Raw genomic sequence first — 24,261 nt, 5'->3', positions numbered from 1 at the left:
TGAGGCAATCTAGGTCATGGCATTTACCGTTGAGAGACAGATACGCAAAAGAATCTCTCCTATTGCCTGGCTTACTGTCATCATTCCATATTTTCCTTATTTTACCGATCAATCTGTCAGTAAAATATGTGTGATGGCTATAGTGTCAGCGAATCTTAAGGAAAAGAATTAAACATCAGACTCCACCGAGCCCTTAAAGAAATCCACGCAAACAGGTTGCTTTTTGAAATCAACACTTCCGACCAGTAACTGAAGGGATGGAATCTGCTGTAGGGGTATTCGGTGTGTTCCATTCTTAAAGCGGGGAGTTCCTTTTTTTTCCCCCCAGACGAAATCTCACTCTGTTGCCTAGGCTGGAGTGCAGCGGCACGATCTCAGCTCACTGCAACCTCCGCCTCCCGGGTTCAAGCGATTCTCCTGCCTCAGCCTCCCGAGTAGTTGCCTGGGATTACGGGCGCCCACCACCACGCCCGGCTAATTTTTGTACTTTTAGTAGAGACAGGGTTTCACCATGTTGGCCAGGCTGGTCTCGAACTCCTGATCTCGGGCGATCTGCCCGCCTCAGCCTTCCCAATTGCTGCGATTATAGGCGTGAGCCATCGCGCCCGGCTGGGAGTTCCATTTTTCTGGGAGCTCCTCCAAGACCCTTACCCCCACCCCCAGAAGAACCCAGCTGAGTTCGCGGGCCTGCCTTTGTCTCCAGAGCCACGCAGCGCTCCCAGACACGCTGCGCCGGAGAAGGCAGCTTTCTTCTGCCGTCCTCACCCTAGGAAAGGGGGTTTCTTCCCTGGCCCCAGTGTCCGATGCTCAGGGATCGGGTTCTCCCTCCGAGGGTGCACCTGGAAACCCGAGCGTCGCCCCGGGGCTCGCTTTTTTCAGACCGCGTCCCATACAAGTCCGCGACCCTTCCACGTTTGGGACAGGAGTGGGAGAGCTTAGCGCTTCCTATTTTTTTGTGGGGGGAGTGCAGGTGATTATAAATCTGGGCATGCAGACTACAGGCTTATTTGACCTGCAGCCGAGTGCGGGGCCAAGCGCCGGGCTCCTGGGGCGCCACCGTTTCCAGACGCGCAGCCACCCGGACTGGACGAGGGGCGGGGTCCGACCTAACTGCCATCCGATGGACAGCGTTTTTTATTCGCGGTTTTCACCCTGGACTTTGGCTTAGTTAAACCTAAAGAGCTTTTTGGAATCTTATCTTTCCCAACGTCTATGAAGTGGGAACTCAATCTCCAGCCCTCTACGTGTGTGTGTGTGTGTGTGTTCAGCGAAGGGAATTCACCCCGGAGAAGAGCCCTGGGTCACTAAAGCGCCGGGCACCACGAGGGTGGAAAAATCCTTCAGAACCAGCCAATGGCGGTACGGCCTGCCCTGAGGGCCCGCCTCTCCGGCGCCCTCAGACATCACGCAGTCGTTGTTGTGATTGGCGGATTTAGGCGGAAAGCCCGCTAGCCTAAACCACAGAGGGTTTTGATTGGTTGCAGCGAACAGCCGCATTTCTATAGTCCAAACCTGGAGCAGTTTAGTGATAAATCCCGCCCTAAAAGGCATTTGATAACCGTTTTACATGTTGTAAGGCAAAGGGTGATTGGTCAGAGAGCTCACGGATTCAGTCGGTAGTAAACACAACCAGACTTCAGGGACCGTGGATTGGTCAGTTTTTCCGGGGGCTAAGTAAATTCCTCCAGGTTCCGCGCGCCGGCTGGCTGCACTCCTACCCCGGCCCCGCCCTTCCCATTGCTGATTGGTTGCAGCCCAACTGGGAGAGGCGGAATGGGGCGGAGTAGGCGCTCTTGCATTACGTCACTTCCGCTTATCCTCGGGCGCCGCCGCCGTGTTCTCAGAGTGCTGCGGCGAACTGGCTGGAGGAGCTAGGGGACTAGAGGCGGGGTGGGAGGGGGGCGGGTGGAAGGGGGAGGAAGTCCCGTAACGGAGACGCTGGTCAGGACGTTCCCACCTCCTCTGACACTGCCGAGTCCGATCGGAGAGGGGTCACCGCCTCCTTCAGCGAGGAGGAGGGGGGCGGAGCCCGACTCAGGTGAGGAGACCCCGTCAGCGAGTATCGTGATGGCGGGCGCGCTCACGTGGGGAAGGTTGAGCACCAGGGGCGCGCCAAGGCGTCGGGGAGCGCGCAGACGTGTACTGGTGCCCCCGGACTACTCTGGCTGTCTTTCGGAGGGGAGCATTGTTACCGTTGGAGCCAAGGGGCCAGGCGGGTTCTTCTGCGCAGGCGTCCCCGGTGTCCCGACGCCAGGCTGTCTGCGGGGTGGGGCGGGGGCTGGTACTCCTGTGGATCCCCGGCTGGCGACGTAGGTTCCCGAATGGGGTGGGAAAGGCCTCAGGACCAGCGGCCTGGCGGGATGAAGAGAGGATCTGCTGCCCTGCGGGATGTGGTCGGACGGCTCCCTTGCCCCCATCCTGGGTCTTGAGCGACGAGGTTTCATTTCACCAGAGCAAGGCCATAGGCAGACTGCCATCGGGAGCCAGCGGCCGACCCTGGAGGGGTGGAGCCAGTGTTTCGGAATGCCCCAACTTGTTATGAGAGGACTGAAGTGTTTAATAGGCATTTATTGAATGCCCACTACTCCCAGGCTTCGTGCGAGGAGCTGTGGGGGATGCGGTGGTAAGACACTGCCGTCCCATCTTCTCCTGTTTGGAGGACAGATTTGTATGTAAATAATAAAAGGCAGTGAATTAAGGGGTGTTGAAGGTTAGTTTTTTCCTTTCATAATGGTCATTTTTTTTTAAGTCAGTCAGCATTCTGGCATAGTGAAGGATATTGTGGAAACTAATTTTCTGAACAGAAGGCAAATCCTAAATAATTTGGAGGAAAAATTTTAGGTGAAAGCACAGTAAAGTTGATTACTAAGTAGTATCTTCTGACTCTAGTTAACTTGAATTAATAGAAGGAACTCTTCACCTTCAAAAATTGAAGCAAAAATATTCCAAAACATGTTCTCATATTTTTCACTTGTATTAAGTAGAGGACATTACGGGCTTTTCTTTAGAGGTTGAAGAGAATGCTGTGCCTTAGTCATTAAGTCATTGGTAATTTGTTGTCCTAGTATGGGCTGTTGTGCTTAGATGTAAAAGGCTGGGCAGAACTTGCTTTTCATTTGCCTAAACTCTTGTGATTTCTGTGGGGACGGTGGTTGGCAGTAAGCTAATAGTTCAGAGGGAAAAGTCCAGATGGGAAGAAGACAAGGAATTTTAGAGAAAAGCCCCTAAGCCAAAGGAAACCGTTCACTCTTCCTTTTAACCCTTATGGAAATCTCATCAAATTTGGGAAGATTGACCTGGCCACCACAGCCAGCTTGGTGACCTTACAGGTAAGACTACTTGGGTGGGGACCTGTTTTGGGCCCTTGGGTTTTGCTGAATAAACAGACTCTTTTTTTGAAGAGTCCTGAAGTCAACTCGTTTACTAGAGATTTGCCCCTTTTCCCTAAAAGTTGTGTCAAAACATAACTTTTAGTTAGCTGAGGATGCTGGCAAGCTGGATTTTGGTTAATTGATATGTCTCTAGCAGAATTCTGAAAATGGTAAGATTTGGAGGAAAGGCATCTTACAGACTTAGGAGCGAACGCTCTCAAAAGAGACTCACAAGACTGTCCCCAAAGTGGAAGTAATAAAAAATCACTGGGATATCAAATAGTACTTAAAGAACTCAGCATGAATTATATCGAATTGGAGACTTTAAAATATCTTGTGTTCAGTGAAATTGACAAAACCTGGTGTAGTGCTGACAGAGAATCTTGAATCTGGCTCACATTCGTTTTGGAAATGGAAAAAAGAACCCAAGGTATTGATTCTATGTTAGCTTTCAACTTTTTTTTTAATGTAAATTAATTTTAAATACTTTCCCCCTCTGTCAGTTTTAAGCGTGTGATTTTTCTTTTACTGTACGTAATATTTCTCAAATATGGATGTTGTCTAGTAGAGCCAGTTTTGTTAGTGTAGCAGGTGGGATGGAATGTAGCACTACACTATGCCTTTTGTCTAAGTATGAAGTGAACTTCTCATCTCCTAAAAGACCAGCTGTTTCTGAGTGAACTATTGCTCTTTGCATATGTTCTCATCATTTTCACCACTGAATAGTAGCTTTTAATTTCAAGATCCAGTTTTAGAGGTGCCTTTCATTTTATTAGTTATACATGTATTTCCTAAAAGCTTTGATTTATCTTGACATCCCAAACAGATTAGGTTACTCTGACAATTCGAAGGGTGAGGAGGGCAGAGAAGAATTTTATTGAGTGATGGAACAGCTCTCAGAGAAGAGGGCATGCAGGGGGTGGTCTCTTTCCCAGTGTGGCTGGTTCCGGGGCTTCTTAGGGACTCAGAATGGGGAGTGTGTGCTGATTGGTTTCTGATGCAAAAAGTTTAAAGGGAAGGCCGGGTGTGGTGGCTCACGCCTGTAATTACTGCAATTGGGGAGGCTGAGGCGGGCAGATTGCCTGAGCTCAGGAGTTCAAGACCAATCTGGCCAACATGGTGAAACCCTGTCTCTACTAAAAATACAAAAATTAACCCGGCATGGTGACGTGCGCCTGTAATCCCAGCTACTCAGGAGGCCGAGGCGGAAGAATCGCTTGAGCCTGGGAGGCAGAAGTTGCATTGAGCTGAGAGCATGCCACTGCACACTTGGAGTCTTGGAGACAGAGTGAGACCCTGTCTCAAAAAAAAAAAAAAAACGGTTAAAGCAAAGACACCACTCAAAGGTGGGCACGACAGTGTAGAAAACCAATTAGGAAAGGGGTAGATATATGTAAAATAGGTGAAGGGTGGGGATCAGTCAGAGGAAAGCATGCCAAATGGGAACACAGGTTCTCAATCTGGTCCGTGGATTTGACTTGTAGCTTGGCTTTCAAGCTTTTAAACTGTCTTCGGCTTGGAGGTGGGGTTTCACTGGGGATGTGCCCCTGTCTGCCTAGGCATTTGTCTGTCTCCTGCCTCTATCATAGTAGTCATTGGCAGACAGTTTTCCTTCCTTGAAGACAGGATACCATAAGTAAGCATTATGCCATAGCTTAATTGGCAGTTTTTTTCCTAGTGTTACATGAAATAATGCATTTTATAATCACAGACATCTTAGATTTAATGAAATTTGGTAAAATTAATAGAATTTTAGCTCAGGTGGCACACACCTGTAGTCCCAACTACTTGGGAGTCTGAGGCAGGAGGATCACTTGAGTTCAAACCAGCCCAGGCAACATAGTAAAATCCTGGCTGCCTATCCCCCATAAAGAGACTTTTGTACCCAACTAATTCCTTGTAATTGTAACCAATAAATTTTCCTAATTCGTTTTCCTGCTCTGGAAAATGTTTGTTACTGAAAAGAAGCCTATCGAGCGTGATATTTTTCCTTATGTAAATGGAAATTAACAAATAAAATGTTCATTTTACAAATTTTAAAGGATGATTAAGTGATAGGTCTACTTTTTGGAAATTATACTTGGTAATCTGTTACTTTGTATGGTAACAGGTTTACAAATGCCTTTATTCCTAATTTACTTTTTTTTTTGAGACAGGGTCTCACTCTGTCACCCAGGCTTGAGTGCAATGGCATAATCTGATCTCGGGTCACTGCAACCTCCGCCTCCTGGGTTCAAATGATTCTTGTGTCTCAGCCTCCTGAGTAGCTGGGACTACAGCTCGTGCCACCATGCCCGACTAATTTTTGTACTTTTTGGTAGAGACAGGGTTTCGCCATGTTGGCCAGGCTGGTCTTGAACTCCTGACCTCAGGTGATCCGACTGCCTTGGCCTCCCAAAGTGCGTGATTACAGGCATGAGAGCCACTGCACCTGGCTGATTGCCATTTTCTTAAGTTTAAAATGTTTAGGGTGAGTTGCTCCCCTTTTTTTCTATGCATGATATTGTTGACATGGTATAATTAATTTTTCAGTACATCTTAGTCAATTATAATTTAAAATCCACTCAACCATCTTCCTCTAAAAATACAAGGCTTTCACCTTTATAGTCCTTATGGTTTAGTCTTTTTTGCGAAGAGGATTTGAGGAAGGAAGACCAGGAAAACAAAATCCAGTGTTTGGGCATTTGGTTGTGGGAGGAGCCCAGAAATGCTACAAAAATCTAAACACATTTAAGTTACTTAGATTGTACTTATTTTGAATAGATGATCAAAAGCAACTCTGCAGGTCAAGTGAAGGTCACTTGCTGAGCATTATTGATTTGATAAATGATTGAGAAGTGAAGGCATATACTGCTTTGAAAGTAAACTAGGTGTAAGAAATGGATTAAGTCCATGTTCATCTTCTCTGTTGGAAAGGCACCATAATAATAGTGTCTCCAAAGCTTTGTCATAGTTTTCATCTTGATAAAAGTTTAGTTTTTTTTTTTCTTTCTACTTTGTTCTGTTTTGCTTTTGAGATAGGGTCTTGCTCTGTCACCTGGGCTGGAGTGTAGTGGGATGGTCATAACTCACTGCAGCCCCAAACTCCTGGGCTCAAGCAACCCTCCCCCACCCAGCCTCCCAAGTAGCTGGGACTACAGGCATGCACCACCACGCCCAGCTAATTTTTGTATTTTTTGTGGAGGTGGGGGTCTCCCTATGTTTTCCAGGCTGGTCTTAGACTCCTGGACTCAAGCATTTCTCCCACCTTGGCCTCCCAACATGTTGAGATTATAGGCGTGAGCCACCATGCCCAGCACCCAGCTAATTAAAAAAAAATTTTTTTGTAGAGAAAAGGTTTTGCTATGTTAACCAAGCAGGTCTCAAATGAGCCTCCCGCTTCAGCCTCCCAAAGTACTGGGATTACAGGTGTGAGCCCCGCATCTGGCCTAATTTTTTTGGGGGGGGAGTGTTCACTCTTATTGCCCAGGCTGGATCCAGCGCAATGGCGCGATCTTGGCTCACTGCAACCTCCACCTCCCGGGTTCAAGCGATTCTCCTGCCTCAGCCCCCGAGTAGCTGGGATTACAGGCATGCACCACCATGCCCGGCTAATTTTTTATTTTTGGCAGAGACAGGGTTTCTCCATGTTGGTCAGGCTAGTTTCGAACTTCCGACCTCAGTTGATCCACCCGCCTCGGCCTCCCAAAGTGCTGGGATTACAGGCGTGAGCCACTGTGCCTAGCTGGACTAATTTTTTTCATTAAGAAAGAAGTTTCTTGGCCAGGCCCAGCATTTTGGGAGGCTGAGGTAGGCAGATCACAAGGTCAGTAGCTTGAGACTAGCCTGGCTAATATGATGAAACCCAGTCTTTACTAAAAATTAAAAAAAATGGCCTGGCGCAGTGGCTCACGCCTGTAATCCCAGCACTTTGGGAGGCCGAGACGGACAGATCATGAGGTCAGGAGATCGAGACCATCCTGACTAACAAGGTGAAACCCCGTCTCTACTAAAAATACAAAAAATTAGCCAGGTGTGGTGGCGGGCGCCCGTAGTCCCAGCTACTTGGGAGGCTAAGGCAGGAGAATGGCATGAACCCGGGAGGCAGAGCTTGCAGTGAGCCGAGATCGCACCACTGCACTCCAGCCTGGGCAACAGAGCAAGACTCATTTCAAAAAAAAAAAAAAAAATTAGCTGGGCATGGTGGTGCACGCCTGTAATCCCAGCTATTCGGGAGGCTGAGGCAGGAGGATTGCTTGAACTGGAGGTTGCAGTGAGCTGAGATTGTGCCACTGCACTCCAGCCTGGGTAACAGAGTGAGACTCTGCCTGAAAAAAAAAAAAAAGTTTCTTGATCTGTCAGGGGTAAAAGACATGTTTAAAAGTTGTTTATGCTACACATCAGTTGGGATTGGAAAGAAAAGAAAACTTTTTTTTTTTTTTGAGATAGAGTTTTGCTCTTGTTGCCCAGACTGGAGTACAGTGGTGCGATCTTGGCTCACTGCAACCTCTGCCTCCCAGGTTCAAGCGATTCTTCTGCCTCAGCCTCCCGAGTAGCTGGGATTACAGGCATGTGTCACCACGCCCCACCAATTTTTTGTATTTTTAGTAGAGACGGCTTTTCTCCATGTTGGTCAGGCTGGTCTCAAACTCCTGACCTCAGGTGATCCACCTGCCTTGGCCTCCCAAAGTGCTGGGAGTACAGGCTGAGAAGCAGGGGCTGGCATGCCCATGCCCTGTTTTACATTTTTTGTAAATCTCTTTAATATGTAGTTTAATAGAAGACAGCTGGATTCCATTAAATGCTTCTGCATTCATTTTGCCGTGATACACTATTTTGATTAAAATATACCAAAAAACTCCAGCATCACACAAATATGTAGTTGGAAAGGGAGGATTATTTCAGTAGATTTTTCAGATAATTTTGGATATTCTTACTCTGATACTGTACCAAAACTCCACAAGTGGTATTTTCTTAAGTGATTAGTGCAATGTGGAATCTGAAATTATGTCAATGAACTTTTCATATTCTGTTGCATTAAAATACATTAGCTTATGTTTTGTACCTTGAATGAATTTTTACCCATACCTTGTTTTATAGCATTATTGTTACATGGCTACATGGTCATTTGGAAAATACTGATTTCAGAGTTATGCAGATCTTCCAAACGTTGACTCATTTATTATACAATGTAAAAAAATCACATTTCATTAATATCACCAATGATCTGTCAGAAGAATTTGAGCATGTGGGAAGCTGTCAAGCTCACAGTGACAGATACAAGTTTTCCAAAATACTAATTTTCACCTGAATTCTCAAACTTTTTTATTGGCAATAAGTAGTACTAAGTTATCTTATTTAAAATAACAGGCTTGTTTCATTCATTTTTTCATTCATTTTCAAGAAAATGGTAAATACTTCTAAATAACCATAGTTTGTCATTCGTTCTTTCAAGTAAAAATAGTGTCCCATGAGAAAAGCAATTAGTTGAGCCACCTCAAAAACTGCACAAGTGCTTTTTCTTGAGGCAACTTGTATTTCAGAATGCAGGAGGAAAACTTCAGGTGTACTTCCCATTTTATCACACATATTGAAAACAGGTACTCAAGAGTTGAGACTTAATAACAGATGTAGGGAAGGGGAGGCTGGGTCTCCATTGGAGTGAGCATTTGGTTAGTAGTAGCTGTGTTCAGCACAGATGTTTGGCATTCTGACCTGATTGTTCCTGCTGCCTAGCTTAATTTCTTCCCAGTTCAATCTTACGTATCCAGCCTTCCCATCAATTCCATGATCAAACTAATAGCCTTTCAGTAAATTACTTTTATGTTTAGGATCAATTTTTGTTGCTGCAACCAATGACTCTGGCTGATGTGCTGCTTAAACTTAAGAAAAAAACCCTAAAATACTTTTTAAGAAAGTAATCTCAAAAGTGATGATAGCCTTTAGTTCAAAAGTATGTGCCTCATGGTTAACCTTTCTGATGACTTGTAATTATTAACATCAGTTATGAGCAGTCACTATCCAATACCTACCTTTCTAGCCATACTATTTTCCAGCCAAATCGAATACATTGCTTTACCCACCTCAACCCCTTCTCCACCTTTACCTCTGTCTAGGGGTTTGTCCAAATCCAACCAAGACCTAGCTCTGTTGTCAACGCTACCATGAAGCTAGAAATAACCTTTGCCTTCTCCAAACCATTGAGAGGTTCTTTCACCTCTTATGTGGCACTTAGTGCCTTCCACTTTGTAATATCGTTATTCATGTATATCTTATTTCCACTAAATACCTGTGACAGTTAGTACTGTCCCATACAAATCTATGCTCCACAGCGCTTAACCTTGAACAAGTAAGCACTTTAAAACATTAGATGATGCTGGCATGGTGGCTCACACTTGTAATCTCAGCACTTTGGGAGGCCAAGGTAGGAGGAATACCTGAGCCCAGGAGTTCGAGACCAGCCAGAGCAACATAGTGAGACCCGTCTCTACAAAGAATAAAAAATTAGCTGGGCATGGTGACGTGCCTGTAGTACCAGTATTTGGGAGGCTGTGGTGGGAGAGTCACTTGAGCTAGGGAAGTGGAGGCTACAGTGAGCTGTGATTGCACCACCACACTCCAGCCTGGGTGGCAAAGCAAGACTCTGTCTCAAAAACAAAACAAAACAAAAAACATATTACATGAATGAACTTGTATACAAAAAATACACAAGTACCTTTATGGGCTGTTGAGGTCCCTTGAGCTGTATACTACCTAGCTCCAAGCTGCTGGGCCTCTTTTCCCCCTTAGTGGGTCAGCTGTCTCTTTCTGCAGCTATCAGCTTAACTTCATTTAAGCAGCCACTCCTTGCTCTCATTCTGGAGTTGCTGCTTCAGTTAGTTAGGGAACTAGAAAAACTTGAATTTTGTTTCGAACAAAAGACTGTGTGAGGGCTTAAGGGACTTTCCTATGAGAAAATCTTTCATCCATAGTCTTTGATCTTTATTTTGGATATTCTGAGACTTTTTCTTCTGGTTTTTGGCTGATTTTAGAGATAGTTGTGATTCTCAGAAAAGTGATTTTTGGGTAATACATTATACTTCATCCATATATAGCAAAAGTTTATTCAGCAAATAATTTACTGAGTATTTTATGTCAGGCACTTTGAGAGAGAGAAAATACAGTTCCTGCCCTCAATAAGCTGTTTTAGTAGAAAAAGCATTTGAGCTTGTACTAGGAACCTAAGTAGGGCACTAATACCTTTTCTTATTCAAACTGAGTTACAGAGCTCTAGGTCAATTCATCCCTAGGGATTTTGGCCTGGAAAACAAGGTGGCAATGTGGAGAGAATTGGAGAGTTAGGTGAGATGGTCAGGGCTTCCAGCTCGCCTTCCTCAGTCATGCTCATCTTTAGTCACTAGTGGAATTTTCCTGTTTTATAGAACTAATCTGTTCAGTTTCTGAGCCAACCCTGACAGAGCAGAACCAGAGATATTATGACATTAGTCATGCTGACAGGTCTGGTTTCTTGGGGTTAACCCAGGCATCATTGTGCCCACCTAGTTCCAGCCTTCCCCTACTCCCACTTTGCTGGTCAAATTAGAACAATGGATGGATGTTCCAGTACTCCGCTCTGTCTGACTTGGAGCCCTGTCAAAATTCCTAGCCTGGGCCAGGTGGGTGGGTGGCTCACGGCTGTAATCCCAGCACTTTGGGAGGCTGAGGCAGGTGGATTGATTGAGCCCAGGAGTTTGAAACCAGCCTGGGCAACATGGCAAAACCCCCTATCTACAAAAAATACAAAAATTAGCCAGGCATGGTGACACGCACCTGTAGTCCCAGCTACCCAGGAGGCTGAGGTGGGAGGATCACCTTGAGCCTGGGAGGTCAAGGCTGCAGTGAACCGTGATCAGGCCACTGTACTCCAGCCTGAGTGAGAGAGTGAGATCCTGCCTCAAAAAAAGAAAAAAAAAAAAATCCTAGCCTGCACTTCCGGAGCCTGTGGTAGGAGGATTGCTTGAGCGCTGGAGTTCAAAAGCAGCCTGGGCATATTGAGACCCCACCTGTATTTAAAAAAAAAAAATCCTAGCCTACTTGAGTGGGTCCTTGCTTTGTTCTGCTCTCTGACTTTTGTTTTCATCTATATCGTCTCTACAAGTGGAGGAAATGTTCTGTCTAGTTATTTTTCTGCTGATGAAATGGGAGAGTTCTCTGAACCCCCCTCGCAGGACGTGTGACAATGATGTGGCTCGTCTGTTTGGCTGCCACCACTGCTAAAACCCTTTACAGGAGGAGGAGCACAGAGACAGGCAGGGGCAGGAGCTGGGGCAAGCTCTTTTAGGCTCTGGCCCCACGGTGGCATCTAGGGGTGGGTGCCTGCAGCTCCCGAAGCCCCATTGGGCATGCTACAGTGCTCTTTTAGCTTGCCATATGCAGATGGGTTAAGTGTTAACCAGCTCAGTACCTTCTTGGTATTTGGGTTCTTGTCCAGCATCCAGGAAGAATTGGGTCACACATGGACTTGAAGGATGGTGTATTCGGGATTTTATTGGATGATGGAGGTGGCTCTCAGTGGGATGGATGGGGAGCTGGAAAGGGGATGGAGTGGGAAGATGATCTTCCCCTGGAGTTCGGCTGTCCTGTGGCCGATCTCTCTGACCATCCCCAGCTGAATGGCTCTTGACATTCAGATGCTCCTTCTCTTCTCTCCTTGGCCACGCTGCTCTTATGCTCCTCTGCACATTCTGTTTGTCTGCTCATCTGCCTGTGGAACCTGGGGTTTGGGGTTTATATGTGTACAGGATAGCATGGTGTGGCAGGCCAAAAGGCAACATTTGGGTGCAAAAACAGGGATGCCTGTTCCCATTTAGGGCCACAGGTTTCCAGGCTTGAGGGTGGGGCCTTAGCTGGGGTACTGCCTTCTTCTACCCAGCATTTCCCTGTCTCCTGTCCATATCACTAGGGTTTTTGTTTTTGCTGAGCCCACACAGAAGTAGGATCTGCTAGGGTTTTATCTAGATTGGGCTACTGAATGTTAAGGATTCCTTAGAATGTTAATTTGCTTTCTGCAGGTGACAACTGTGTGGATCCTGCCTGGCAGGCAAGCAGCAAATTACTTGATATGGTAGTAGATGATGTTTGAGTATGGGTGCGGTTTTTGTTATGAATGAAGTATATTATTGAGAAGCATGTGGGTATATCAGTGTATAAATTAAATAGTTTAAAATGTGCTGGCTTGTTCTCCGAAGACAGAAAGGAACTTTATTAGCCTAAGTAAAGCATTATTAGAAAAGTAAATCTATTGAGAAAAGTCATCTTTTGATTATTCATGTTAATGTAATGGACAGTAATGAGAGTGTATTTTCTTAATTATATTTAGTTTTGAAATTCCTAAATATTTGTTCCTGCAGATAACAAATACTGAACTTTACACTTGCTTTGGGTTAGACACAGTTATACATCAGTAGATTGCTTGCCACACTCTCCTCCAGCTATGTTGACTCATATTGTCACATTTTGGAGCCTTTTAAAGAGACCTGAAGCCTTTTTCCTTGGTTAGAAGGCTTCAGACAGGCAGCTTTGGGTAAAACTCTTAATTTACTCAGCCTGAGCTCTGTTAAGGCTTTTAGACTGGCCTTCTGACTTTGCTAGAATTACTTGAGAGTTCTGAGTAAGAATGATCTTGATTCATGATTCCCTTCCATCAGAGCAGATAATAGCAAATTTTATATCCCCCAAATGAACTGAATTTTTAAAATATTCCCTCTAGATCCAAAAAAGTTCTAAAGGTTTTGAGATAGCTGTATTATATAGGTTTTCCTGGGAGATGTAATTTGAACTTCATGTTTGACTGTGTGGCAGAGATCCAACACAAACCAGGTTAAGGTAAAAGGGGAGTTCACTGGCTCATGAAACAAGTCCTAGGGTGGTGCCAACTTTAGTCATACCTGGATTCCAGAGTCTTGATACCTTCTGGACAGTGTTTTTGGTATCACTCTCTTCTGTGTTGGCTTCGTTCTCAAACAGGCAAAAATGGTCACTCTCAGTGCTGGATTTATAACTCCCTCACAGTTTGTAATCTGGGTTGAGATAGTCTCTTTCTTGATATACCAGCAAAAGCCCACAGGCAGACTCCATTGGCAGAACTTGGGTCACATACCCAAGTGATTGTCTGAAACAATCACTGTAATCAAGGAGAGTGGGTACCAAGTTGACTGGGTCTCCCTGGATCCTCCGTCTCCTGGTAAACTCAGGTGTTTGGGGCAGTTCGATCTGTACTACATGGACTCATGGACTAAGAATGGGTGGGAAGTGATTTTCTCCAATGACATAGAGGGACCCCCTCTCCCCGAAAAGGTGGAGATAGTATTTGAATGTTGATTTGTGGGGAAATGGTAAAAAAGTTTCACACCGTTACAGTTACTTAGTGCTGTGTAACAGATCTGAAAACTTCATGGTGCTCACACCTGTAATCCCAACACTTTGGAAGGCTGAGGCGGAAGGATCCCTTGAGCACAGGAGTTCAAGACCAGCCTGGCCATCATAGGGAACCTTGTCTCTACAAAAAAAAAAAGCTGCGTGTGGTGGTCTGTGCCTGTAATCCCAGCCAACGGGAGGCTGAGGTGGGAGGATTGCTTAAGCTCAGGAGTTCAAGGCTGTAGTGAGCTATAACTGTGCCAGCACTCCAGCCTGGATGACAGAGCAAGACCCTGTCACTATTTAAAGAGAGAGAGAGACAGACAGACAGACATGTGGCATCTTAGAATCCAATGAAGGAATAGAGATTTCTTGTTCACCTAATGGTTATGGGACAGGGGTAGGGGATTGAGAGTGCAACCTATATGATGTAAATATACAAGAATATTCCTTACTAATAGACAGTAGCATCTGTTTATCCATATGGTTACATGTTACTTTATTTTTTAGTATCACCAGGTGTGTAGCAGATACTGTGTAGCTCTGACCAGATCCCCTTGATCCCTATTACCGGTTCTGTGCACCCATCCTATAGCTATTGTGTGCTTAACAGCTTGCATCTGTGACTCTTGAGGACTGTCTTTGGGTGACTGGCATCACTTTGTGCATGGGCCCAGAGAACCAGAAGTGCCTGGCAGTTTACATTGCCCTAGGGAGGCTTTTAGTCATTGACTGAGTGACTGCAGGGCTATGAAAGACCAGCACCTTTGCCTTGAGGTGGCTCAAACTCAGAGGCATTGTTTATACTCCAGAGCACCCCTGCTAGAACACACTAAGGCTGGGATTTTGCCCCATATTATACCTTTACTTGGCTGCTGCTTCCTTCTCCTGCTCCTTACTCCCATTTTCTCCTGGGAACTTCTTGATAAATCACTTGCACTTGAATCTTTCTCTTATGATTTGCCTCTGGGGAACCCTAATTAAAACAGTATGAATCTAAGCCTCCTTTGTATTCATAGTCTTTGGAATCACTTTTGAGCTTCATATTAGTAGTGATATACACTGCTATTTCCAACTAATTCTTGGAATATTGACTTCTGGGTTTTGGGGATGGCCAAAACATATATCAAAAATGATGCTAGTATTTGGTTTAACTCATGCTGCATTTGGTTTAACTCATGACCCCATTTTTACTGTGAGTTATGCTTCTGTTACTAGATATTTTAAATAGCTTATCTTAAAATTCAGTCAGTGCAATTGAAACTGCCTTTGCAAAATCACAACTGAGAAAATTAATGACAGCGAAAGATATCAGACCTAACCGACCCCATCTTGCTTCTAACCTCTAAACTGTTCTTGTTCATTCCTGTGCGTAGGCCAAACTAGCCTTGAGAAGGAATTTTGTTTACAGTTTAAAGCTAAACTGTTCTTGTAAAACAAATGAAAGGCCACCAGCCACCAAGTTAGAATGAGAGGGGTTGGGATTCTAAATATTACCAGCCATCATTAGGTAGGTCATAAGAGTTGCAACTTCCCCAATTACTCTTGAAGGTAACATCACTATTGTGAACCTCAGATCGGCCTTTTGAGATGTCTTTTCAGGCTTTTGCATTTCTGACAACTGGATGGCCCCACCTGGACCTGCCAACCAGTTCTGTATTCCCCACCCAGGAACTGACTCAGCATAAGAGGACAACTTCGACTCCCTAGATTTCATCCCTAAGCCAACCAATCAGCACTCCTAACTCACTGGCCCCCTACCCACCAAATTATCCTTAAAAACTCTTTTAAGGATAAAAAGCTTTTTAGGGGGTGATAATGACAGTTTTTTCTAATTGTATGTGTGTCGTTATAGTCTATTCAGGCTTTCTTTATACATTTATCATCTTACCAAAAGTGTATATGTAAATTTGCTAAGTGCACGTCTGTCTTTTTTTTTTTTTTTTTTTTTTGAGATAGTCTCACTCTGTCACCCAGGCTGGAGTGCAGTGGCACTACCTTGGCTCAGTGCAATCTCCATCTCCCAGGTTCAAGCGATTGTTGTGCCTCAGCCTCCCAAATAACTGGGATTACAGGCCTGCGCCACCACACCCAGCTAATTTTTGTAGAGACAGGGTTTTGCCATGTTGGTCAGGCTGGTCTCAAACTCCTGGCCTCAAGTGATCCACCCACCTCGGCCTCCCAAAATGCTGGGATTGTAGTCGTGAGCCACCGTGCCTAGCCAGTGAACATCATTTAACGAATCAGTAGTTCTACAAGATTTAAGACAAACACCAGGCCTTACCTTCCCTGCTTTCCATTTTCTTTTCTTTTTAAATTTTTTTTTGGAGATAGGGTCTCACTCTGTCACCCAAGCTGGAGTGCAGTGGTATGATCTCAGCTCACTGCACCCTCCACCCCTGCAGGCTCAAGCTGTCCTCCCACCTCAGTCTCTTGAGTAGCTGGTACTATAGGTGTGCATCACCACACCCGGCTATTTTTTTGTATTTTTGGTAGAGACGGGGGTCTCACCATGTTGCCCAGGTTCCTGTTTTCCATTTTCTCTTCTCCAAGACTACCATTTTCAACTCTTAGCTAATTCTTTTGGTAATTACATGTATATATTAAATAATATGCTTGGAGCTAATTCATTTTTTTTTTTTTGAGATGGAGTTTTGCTCTGTTGCCCAGGCTGGGGTGCAGTGGTGTGATCTCGGCTCACTGCAACCTCCGCCTCCCAGGTTCAAGCGATTCTCCTGCCTCAGCCTCCTGAGTAGCTGGGATTACAGGTACGTGCCACCAAGCCTGGCTAATTTTTGTATTTTTAGTAGAGACGGGGTTTCACCATGCTGGCCAGGCTGGTCTTGAACTCTTGACCTCAGGTGATCTCCCAAAGTGCTGGGATTATAAGTGTGAGCCACCGTGCCTGGCAGGAGCTAATTCTTAATTTCAGTTTAGGCATTATCTATTGACATCTCCTTGGTTAAAGGTAATACTGTTCTTTATGAATTTGTTAATTTCTCCTTGTAATTCTGCCAGTTTTGCTCAATGCATATTACTCATTCTTCTATCTTCCAAATATAATTAAAATTTTTGTTAGATCAGCAATTCGCAAAGTATAGTCCAGTGACCTGTATGGGCCCCACAGACTTTTTCAAGGGGTCTGTGAGGTCAGAACTTTTTATAATGATACAAAGACTTACTTGCTTTTTTTTTGAAGCAGCTTCGTTGTCTGGGGTAAATACCTGGGGTTCGTTGTCTCGGGCCAAGAAAATTTGGGACACAGACACACTCGAGTTTAGGAATGGAGGTTTAATAGGCCAAAGAAAGAAACAAAGAGAAAGGAAAACAGCTCTCTCTCTAGTGAGACAGAGGAGCTTCTGAAAGGAAACGACCAGCCGGTGGCAGAATTTGCCAGATTTTATAGGCAGGCTTGAGGAGGTGGTGTCTGATTTACGTAGGGCCCACAGATTGGTTTGATCACGTGTGACGTTTATATAGCACATGGGGAAGGCTGGCCATTCCACCCTAATCTTATTATGCAAATGGGCTTTCCCCTTGGCCTGCCCCATTGTCTGCTGCTTACCGTACACATTGCTGAAAAAGAGAAGGGAAGATGAAGCCACCATTTTGAACATGATTGGCACCACTGCTGGCATCTATGTCTGCAGCTCGATTTTACAGGCTGCTCTTTGTTAGAAAGAAAAATCACTTGGGGCTGCTTTTTATTAAAAGGAAAACCTTACCGAGGGCTGGCTTACCCTCACTATCTGCTTAATTTGTCTTTAATTCCTGTATCATTTTTACTCATTCTTTTTTTTTTTTTTTTTTTTTGAGAGTCTCATACTATCGCGCAGACTAGAGTGCAGTGGTACAGTCTTGGCTCACTGCAACCTCCACCTCCTGGGTTCAAGCAATTCTCATATGCCTCGCCTCCCGAGTAGCTGAGACTACAGGCATGTGCCACCACACCTGACTAATTTTTGCATTTTTAGTAGAGGCAGGGTTTCACCATGTTGGCCAAGCTGGTCGCAAACTCCTGGCCTCAAGTGATCTGCCCACCTGGACCTCCAAAAGTGCTGAGATTACAGGCATGAGCTACCGCACCAGGCCTTTTTTTACTCATTCTTTCATGAATGTAGAGTGGAGTGCATGGAGTAGGCCGTGCAATGTGTGATACCACAAGCCTGAATGCAGAAGCAAATATGAGAATCCAGTTGTCTTCTCTTAATGCCAAAATATAAAACAATACCCCTCTTATGTTTTTGGAAACTATTTATTTATTTTTTAAATAACTTTTTTCTTTTTGTTATATAGAATCTCACTACGTTGCCCAGGCTGGTCTTGAACTCCTGGGCTCAACTGATCCTCCCACCTAGGCCTCCCAAGGTGCTAGTTTTACAGGTGTAAGCCACCGTGCCCGGCCCAGTTGTTTATTAAAATGTTATGTTAACATGTAATTGTTTATTATTTATTTATTTATTTTGAAACGGAGTCTCGCTCTGTCACCAGGCTGGAGTACAGTGGCGTGATCTTGGCTCACTGCACTCTCCGCCTTCTGGGTTCAAGCGATTCTCCTGCCTCAGCCTCCCCAGTAGCTGGGACTACAGGCACACGCCACCACGCCCAGCTAATTTTTGTATTTTTAGTAGAGTCGGGGTTTCACCATGTTGGCCAGGATGGTCTCGCTCTCTTGACCTCGTGTTTGCCCACCTCGGCCTTCCAAAGTGCTGGGATTACAGGCGTGAGCCACTGTGCCCGGCTGTAATCGTTTATTACTATTTTTAAATAAGTTGACAAATAGTTTTAAATTTTCTGTTTTAATTTCTTTAGAGTTCCTTTTTTAAGAAAATCTACTCTACTTCCTTAGCTGTCCATGGCAGAGTAATCAGGACTTAATAAATTGCTAATTGAAGATGTTACAGTGTAACACCAACTCATCTGGCCTTCTGTTGTTTGGTTCTTTCTTTCATTTCCAGGAAGATCACCTCTTACTCAGTAAAACTATGCATTTCCAAAGTCACATGGATTAATATGTAGAGGGGCCCTATTTGTCAGAGGGATGCTAGGTGGACATCTGTCATTTGCAGCTCCCCAGAATCTTCTGAGCACCCCTTCCCCCCTTCACATTTGGATAGTCTGCAAATTGTGATTCCCACTTTCCCAAGGTGGAATCATAGTTATGATGCAGACATTAGCCTCTGTATTGCCTGAAGATGGTCTGCCAACAAGGTATAACAGGAAGTTCCAAGCATCCCTAAAGTGTTTTGAGAGGAATGTGGAGAACTTGAGTTGGTCTCAAGGCCTGTGATGGGGGATCTAGTGTAGAGCTGAGGATCTCTAGGCTGATGGGAAGTTAAAAGATTGTAGGTACTGTTTGCCTGTCTTCCAGTATTACTTAAACCTTTTATCTTTGTTGGGGTTGTGTTTAGCTACCTCAGTAGCCTCTTTTCAAAGATCCCCTGGCTCTTGGAAAATTTCCTCAAAATGGTGTTTCTGGGACCACAATTTAAAAAAATTGTTTATTTATTTATTTTAGAGATGAGGGCTTGCCATATTGCCTAGGCTGTTCTCCAACTCCTAGGCTCAGGTAATCTTCCCATCTTGGCCTTCCAAAGTACTGGGAATTACAGATATGAGCCACCATGCCCAGCCCCGTAATTTTTAAGTAAGCCATTTTTCTCATATAAGTTCTTTTGCTTATCTAAAAAAAAAAAAAAAGAAGCATTGAGCAGAATATTAGTGCCCTTTTAAATCAGTATGCCTAGTTGAAATACTATTTATTTGTGAAGTCAGTCTTTTATGGCCCCCCTCACCTATTAACTCAGGAAAATAATTCCCACCTGCCACTGTTGTTTTGAAGATTAGAAATAATGTAAATTAAAAGTACTTAGCATAATGACTGTCAGGCTCTCAGTAATTACTGTTATTATACCTGTAATCCCAGGCTGGCAGGAGGATTGCTTGAAGCCAGGAGTTCAAAGCTGCAGTGAGCTATGATCATGCCACTGTACTCTAGCCTGGGCAACAGGGTGAAACCCTGTCTCAAAAAAAAAGCACAGTAAAAAATATATATTTTATTACCACTACCATTACCTCTGTTACTGTCACCAGTGAGACTGTTACTACAATGCTGGGTGATATGGCTTGGCTCTGTCCCAACCCAAATCTCATCTCAAATTGAATCCCCACATGAAGGGAAGGAGGTGATTGGATCCTGGGGGTGGTTTCCCCCATGCTGTTCTCCTGATAGTGAGTTCTCACAACATCTGGTGGTTTTATAAGTGACAGTTTCTCCTTCACACACTCACACTCTTCTGCCACCATGTGAAGAAGGTCCTTGCTTTCCCTTTGCCTTCCACCATGATTGTAAGTTTCCTGAGGCCACCTTAGCCATGCAGAACTGTGAGTCAATTAAACCTCTTTCCTTTATAAATCACCCAGTCTTGGGTATTTCTTTATAGCAGTTGAAAACAGACTAATACACTGGGTCTATTCCCCACTGTAGGAGAGAAAGCAGTAACGCTGAGTGTCTAGTGTTCCTTGTTTTTGCCTGTTGAGCCCAAGCTTCCATGGTCGCTTAGAAGAGCAACTCTGAGTCTTGTACAACTTCCCACCACAATTCCCTGTTTATTTTATTCCTCAAACCAGAATGTTTCTTCCCTGTTACTGCTACAAAATAATTACCCCTCTGGAACTTGGCACTTATTCATATATGAGTGTACTTTCTAAGGCAGGGCTATAGACTTAATGAGCAGTAATTGCATTTTGTTTAATCTCCCCAAAGCCTTAAGCTCTGTGGGCCCTGAGTGAGTCGGGTGGGGACCCGGGATGTGTGTGCTGCTGCCTGCCACTGCTGGCTCTCTGCTTTCTGCCGGAAAGCTTGGTAAAGCAAGAAGGGATGTGGCAGTGGCTGCATCTTTGGAGATCTGATCTCTCATACATGATAGCAAAGAACAGACACCTCAGTGGGAAAGTATGTGTGATCTATTTTGTTGTTGAAAGTTCATCAAAGCTCAACAAACATAGGCAAAACAATATGGCCAACATGTGTCTGCTGCTTTGAGGCATTTGCTTTTCCGATAGTTAACTTTCCAAGTATAGCTGAATAGCATAATAGTCTCAGTCGCCACAGTAGACCCTTGAATTTTGTGGACTTAGTTTGCCATTTCAGTTATTTCCCAGGATCCTGACCAACTTTGGCCTGTAAGGCTGTATGGCTGGGACATCAGAGCAAGTGGTTGGGCCTGGGGAGCCACTTGGCACCCATGCTGCCTTCTTATGAAATGCCATGATGGTATTTGTGAATTTTGGAGATTTGCAAAGATCTCAGGTATATCCCTTTAGAATATCATAGATCTACCTTTTTTAAATTTAATTTTATAAATATATGTGTATACATTTTTATGTATTTATTTATTTGAGACAGAGACTTGCTCTGTCGCCCAGGTTGCAGTGCAGTGCAGCGATCTTTGCTCTCTATAACCTCTGCCCCCTGGGCTGAAGCAGTCTTCCCACCTTAGCCTCCCAAGTACACTGGGACTACATGGCAGGCACTCGCCACCATGGCCGGCTACTTTTTGCATTTTTAGTTGAGATGGGGTTTTGCCATGTTGCCTAAGGTGGTCTCGAACTCCTGAGCTCAAACAATCTGCCCGCCTCAGTCTCCCAAAGGGTTAGGATTACAGCCATGAGCTACCACACCCAGCCTATAGTTCCATAAGGCTTATAGGTAAAAAGAAACAAAAACAACAACAAAACAGCAGTCCCCTGTCCCATCCTTTTCCCCATCAATTACCCACTCCTCAGAGGCAACCACTTTCAATTATTTCAGCTGTTTCTTCCACTATTGACTTCCATATTTCTTTTTTCTTTTTTTTTTTTTGACAGGGTCTCACTCTGTCTCCCAGATTAGAGTGCAGTGACGTGATCTCTGCTCACTGCAAGTTCTGACTCCGGGCTCAAGTGATCCCCCTCAGCCTCCCAAGTAGCTGGGACTGCAGGCACATACCACCATGCCTGGCTAATTGTTTTTGTATTTTTAGTAAGAGATGGGGTTTTGCCCCATGTTGCCCAGGCTGGTCTTGAACTCCTGGGGGCTCAAGGGACCCACCTACCTCGGTCTCCCAAAGCGCTGGGATTACAGGCGTGAACCACCAAGTTGGTTAACTTCTATACTTCTAAATAACATGCCAAATTACTATTTTTTGAGATAACCTATTTCAGACTGTATTTCTAGATTAATAAGGAAAGTGAAGATTTAACTTTATTATACCTCATCTCCTCTACCCTCTTCCCCCATGCAAAGTTGCTTTCTCTCATCCTCCCAATATCTCACATTCGGTTTAGTGTACATATTTTATGACTGTGTAAATATTGTCTACGAATGAACTACATATTGTGTCCTGTGAGTAAACAACCTTTTTTTTTTTTCCTGGAGTTAATCATTGATCCATTTAAAAACTTCTTGTTTTTTTTAATGACCTATCTGCACACTTGGATAGGACTGGTAAATTACAAGCACTCCCAGTCACATCAGGTTATCTATCCATTCCTTTTTTTCCCACCCCCCTTGGAGACCCACTCCTTGGAGTCCTTCCTGCTCCAGTCTGACTGCTTTTGCTCTCCAGGCCTGCTGCCTAGTTGTCATCTGGAGCTTCATCATCATCCTTGGGATTCCCTTTGCCTGTCTTCTCTGGTGGGTCTCCTGTTTCCTACAATCTTAGTCGCCTCCTGAGAAAGGATAAACCTTTGGGTTCTTATCTGAAAATGCCTTAGTTTATCCTAATTGATTAATAGTTTAGCTGGGTGTGGCATTCTAAGTTGGAAATCATTTTCTTGGATAATTTTGAAGGAACTGTCATCTTCTAGCTTTTAGTGCTGCTGTGGCAAAGACGAATGCCAATTTTATTCCTGATGTCAGCCTAGTGTGGGGATTTGTATCTTCATATTTTGAGTACTTGTTGGGCCTTTTTAGTCTTAATAAGCAAATTTCTTCAGTTCTCAAAATTTAAAAAATACCATTTCTTGGCCGGGCGCAGTGGCTCATGCCTGTAATCCCAGCACTTTGGGATGCCAGGGTGGGCGGATCACCTGAGGTCAGGAGTTCAAAACCAGCCTGACCAACAAGGTAAAACCCCTGTCTCTACTAAAAATACAAAAATTAGCCGGGTGTGGTGGCGTGCACCTATAATCCCAGCTCGTCAGGAGGCTGAGGCAGGAGAATCACTTGAACCCGGGAGGCGGAGGTTGCAGTGAGCCGACATTGCGCCACTGTACTCCAGCCTGGGGGAACAGAGCGAAACTCTGTCTCAAAAACAAAACAAAAAACCATTTCTTACATCATTTTCACCCTCTGTATTCTTCCTTTTCTCTTTCTGTAGTCAAGATATTGGACCTGATTAATTCCTTCTCTTATTCATTCACTTATTTTTATTTTATTTTCTGAGACAGGGCCTTGCTCTGTTGCTTAGGCTGGAGTGCAGTGGCCCAGTGACAGTTCACAGAAGCCTTGACTTCCCAGGCTCAAGTGATCCTCCCACCTCAGCCTCCCAAGTAGCTGGGACCACAGGTGCACGCCACCATGCTCGGCTAATTTTTTTTTGAGACAGGTTTCACTCTGTCACCCAGGTTGGAGTGCAGCAGTGCGATCTCTGCTCACTGCAGCCTCTGCCTCCCAGGCTCAAGTGATCCTCCCCCTTCAGCCTCCTGAGTAGCTGAAGGCACATACCAGCATGCCCGGCTAATTTTTTGTATTTTTGGTAGAGACAGGGTTTCACCTTGTTGCCCAGGCTTGTCTCAAACTCCTAAGCTCAGGCAATCCTCCCACCTCAGCCTCCAAAAGTGCTATAGGATTACAGGCATGCGCCACCACATCCTGGTGTTTTTTTGTTTTTGTTTTTTTTAATTGGATAGATTTTCAGCCAGGCCTCCTGCCTTAGCCACACCTTCATTCCATTTCCCCTGGCAAGGGCAACCAGTTCCTTGGCCTTTGGGAATGAGATTTATATATGTTAGGTTGTTTTATCCGCTGCCCAGTTTAGGATTTTCGCTTTTGGGGTGTGCTGAGTCAGTTAGCACTCATTTACCTCTCCCCAGCTTCCAAAATGCTATTGAAGGCCTTCTCATTCTCTTTTTCCTTGTGGGTTTACACCTTTAAAGTTTAAACAAAAACTTTAGTGTTTTTTTTTTTTTTCCTTTGAGATGAAGTCTCACTCTGTCGCCCAGGCTGGGAGTGCAGTGGTGTGATCTCAGCTCACTGCAACCTCCGCCTCCTCAGCCTCCCGAGTACCTGGGATTACAAGCATGCACCACCATGCCTGGCTAATTTTTTGTATTTTTAGTAGAGACAGGGTTTCATCATGTTGGTCAGGCTCGTCTTGAACTCCTGACCTCAGGTGATCTGCCCGTCTCAGCCTCCCAAAGTGCTGGGATTACAGGCATGAGCCTCCATGCCGGGCTTCGTGTCATTTTAGTGGGGTTTCAGGAAAAAGCACGGGGCAAATGCGTGTGTGCAATCTGCTACCATCTATAACTG

General features: G+C 44.7%; 1 protein-coding gene across 2 annotated transcripts in view, besides 5 other annotated features; it reads left to right on the top strand.

The window, feature by feature from the left end:
• Window positions 138-823: an enhancer, noted in NCBI's record as "NANOG-H3K27ac-H3K4me1 hESC enhancer chr9:37466427-37467112 (GRCh37/hg19 assembly coordinates)". NCBI's record gives its function as "activates a minimal SCP1, AML or CMV promoter by ChIP-STARR-seq in naive H9 embryonic stem cells {active_cell/tissue: H9 hESC(naive)}" and the evidence as "EXISTENCE:reporter gene assay evidence [ECO:0000049][PMID:30033119]".
• Window positions 824-1,509: an enhancer, noted in NCBI's record as "NANOG-H3K27ac-H3K4me1 hESC enhancer chr9:37465741-37466426 (GRCh37/hg19 assembly coordinates)". NCBI's record gives its function as "activates a minimal SCP1, AML or CMV promoter by ChIP-STARR-seq in naive H9 embryonic stem cells {active_cell/tissue: H9 hESC(naive)}" and the evidence as "EXISTENCE:reporter gene assay evidence [ECO:0000049][PMID:30033119]".
• Window positions 1,510-2,195: an enhancer, noted in NCBI's record as "NANOG-H3K27ac hESC enhancer chr9:37465055-37465740 (GRCh37/hg19 assembly coordinates)". NCBI's record gives its function as "activates a minimal SCP1, AML or CMV promoter by ChIP-STARR-seq in naive H9 embryonic stem cells {active_cell/tissue: H9 hESC(naive)}" and the evidence as "EXISTENCE:reporter gene assay evidence [ECO:0000049][PMID:30033119]".
• The window catches only part of ZBTB5 (zinc finger and BTB domain containing 5), a 27,349-nt gene continuing 4,890 nt past the window's right edge, over window positions 1,803-24,261 (top strand). Inside the window, exon 1 of one of the 2 annotated variants that reach the window (NM_014872.3) lies at window positions 1,803-2,038. The gene's annotated coding sequence lies outside the window, so the exon portion shown is untranslated. Of the gene's footprint in view, window positions 3,330-24,261 lie in introns of both variants that reach the window. The other variant, XM_005251634.3, reaches the window with a different exon arrangement.
• Window positions 1,876-1,975: a silencer, noted in NCBI's record as "silent region_19905". NCBI's record gives its function as "represses an Ori minimal core promoter by ATAC-STARR-seq in GM12878 lymphoblastoid cells {active_cell/tissue: GM12878}" and the evidence as "EXISTENCE:reporter gene assay evidence [ECO:0000049][PMID:35858748]".
• Window positions 2,196-2,881: an enhancer, noted in NCBI's record as "H3K27ac hESC enhancer chr9:37464369-37465054 (GRCh37/hg19 assembly coordinates)". NCBI's record gives its function as "activates a minimal SCP1, AML or CMV promoter by ChIP-STARR-seq in naive H9 embryonic stem cells {active_cell/tissue: H9 hESC(naive)}" and the evidence as "EXISTENCE:reporter gene assay evidence [ECO:0000049][PMID:30033119]".

This window comes from Homo sapiens, chromosome 9 (genome assembly GCF_000001405.40).
Source record: "Homo sapiens chromosome 9, GRCh38.p14 Primary Assembly".
Classification (NCBI taxonomy): domain Eukaryota; kingdom Metazoa; phylum Chordata; class Mammalia; order Primates; family Hominidae; genus Homo; species Homo sapiens.
The sequence above is the reverse complement of the archived record's forward strand: the minus strand, read 5'-3'. Positions and strand labels throughout refer to the sequence as shown.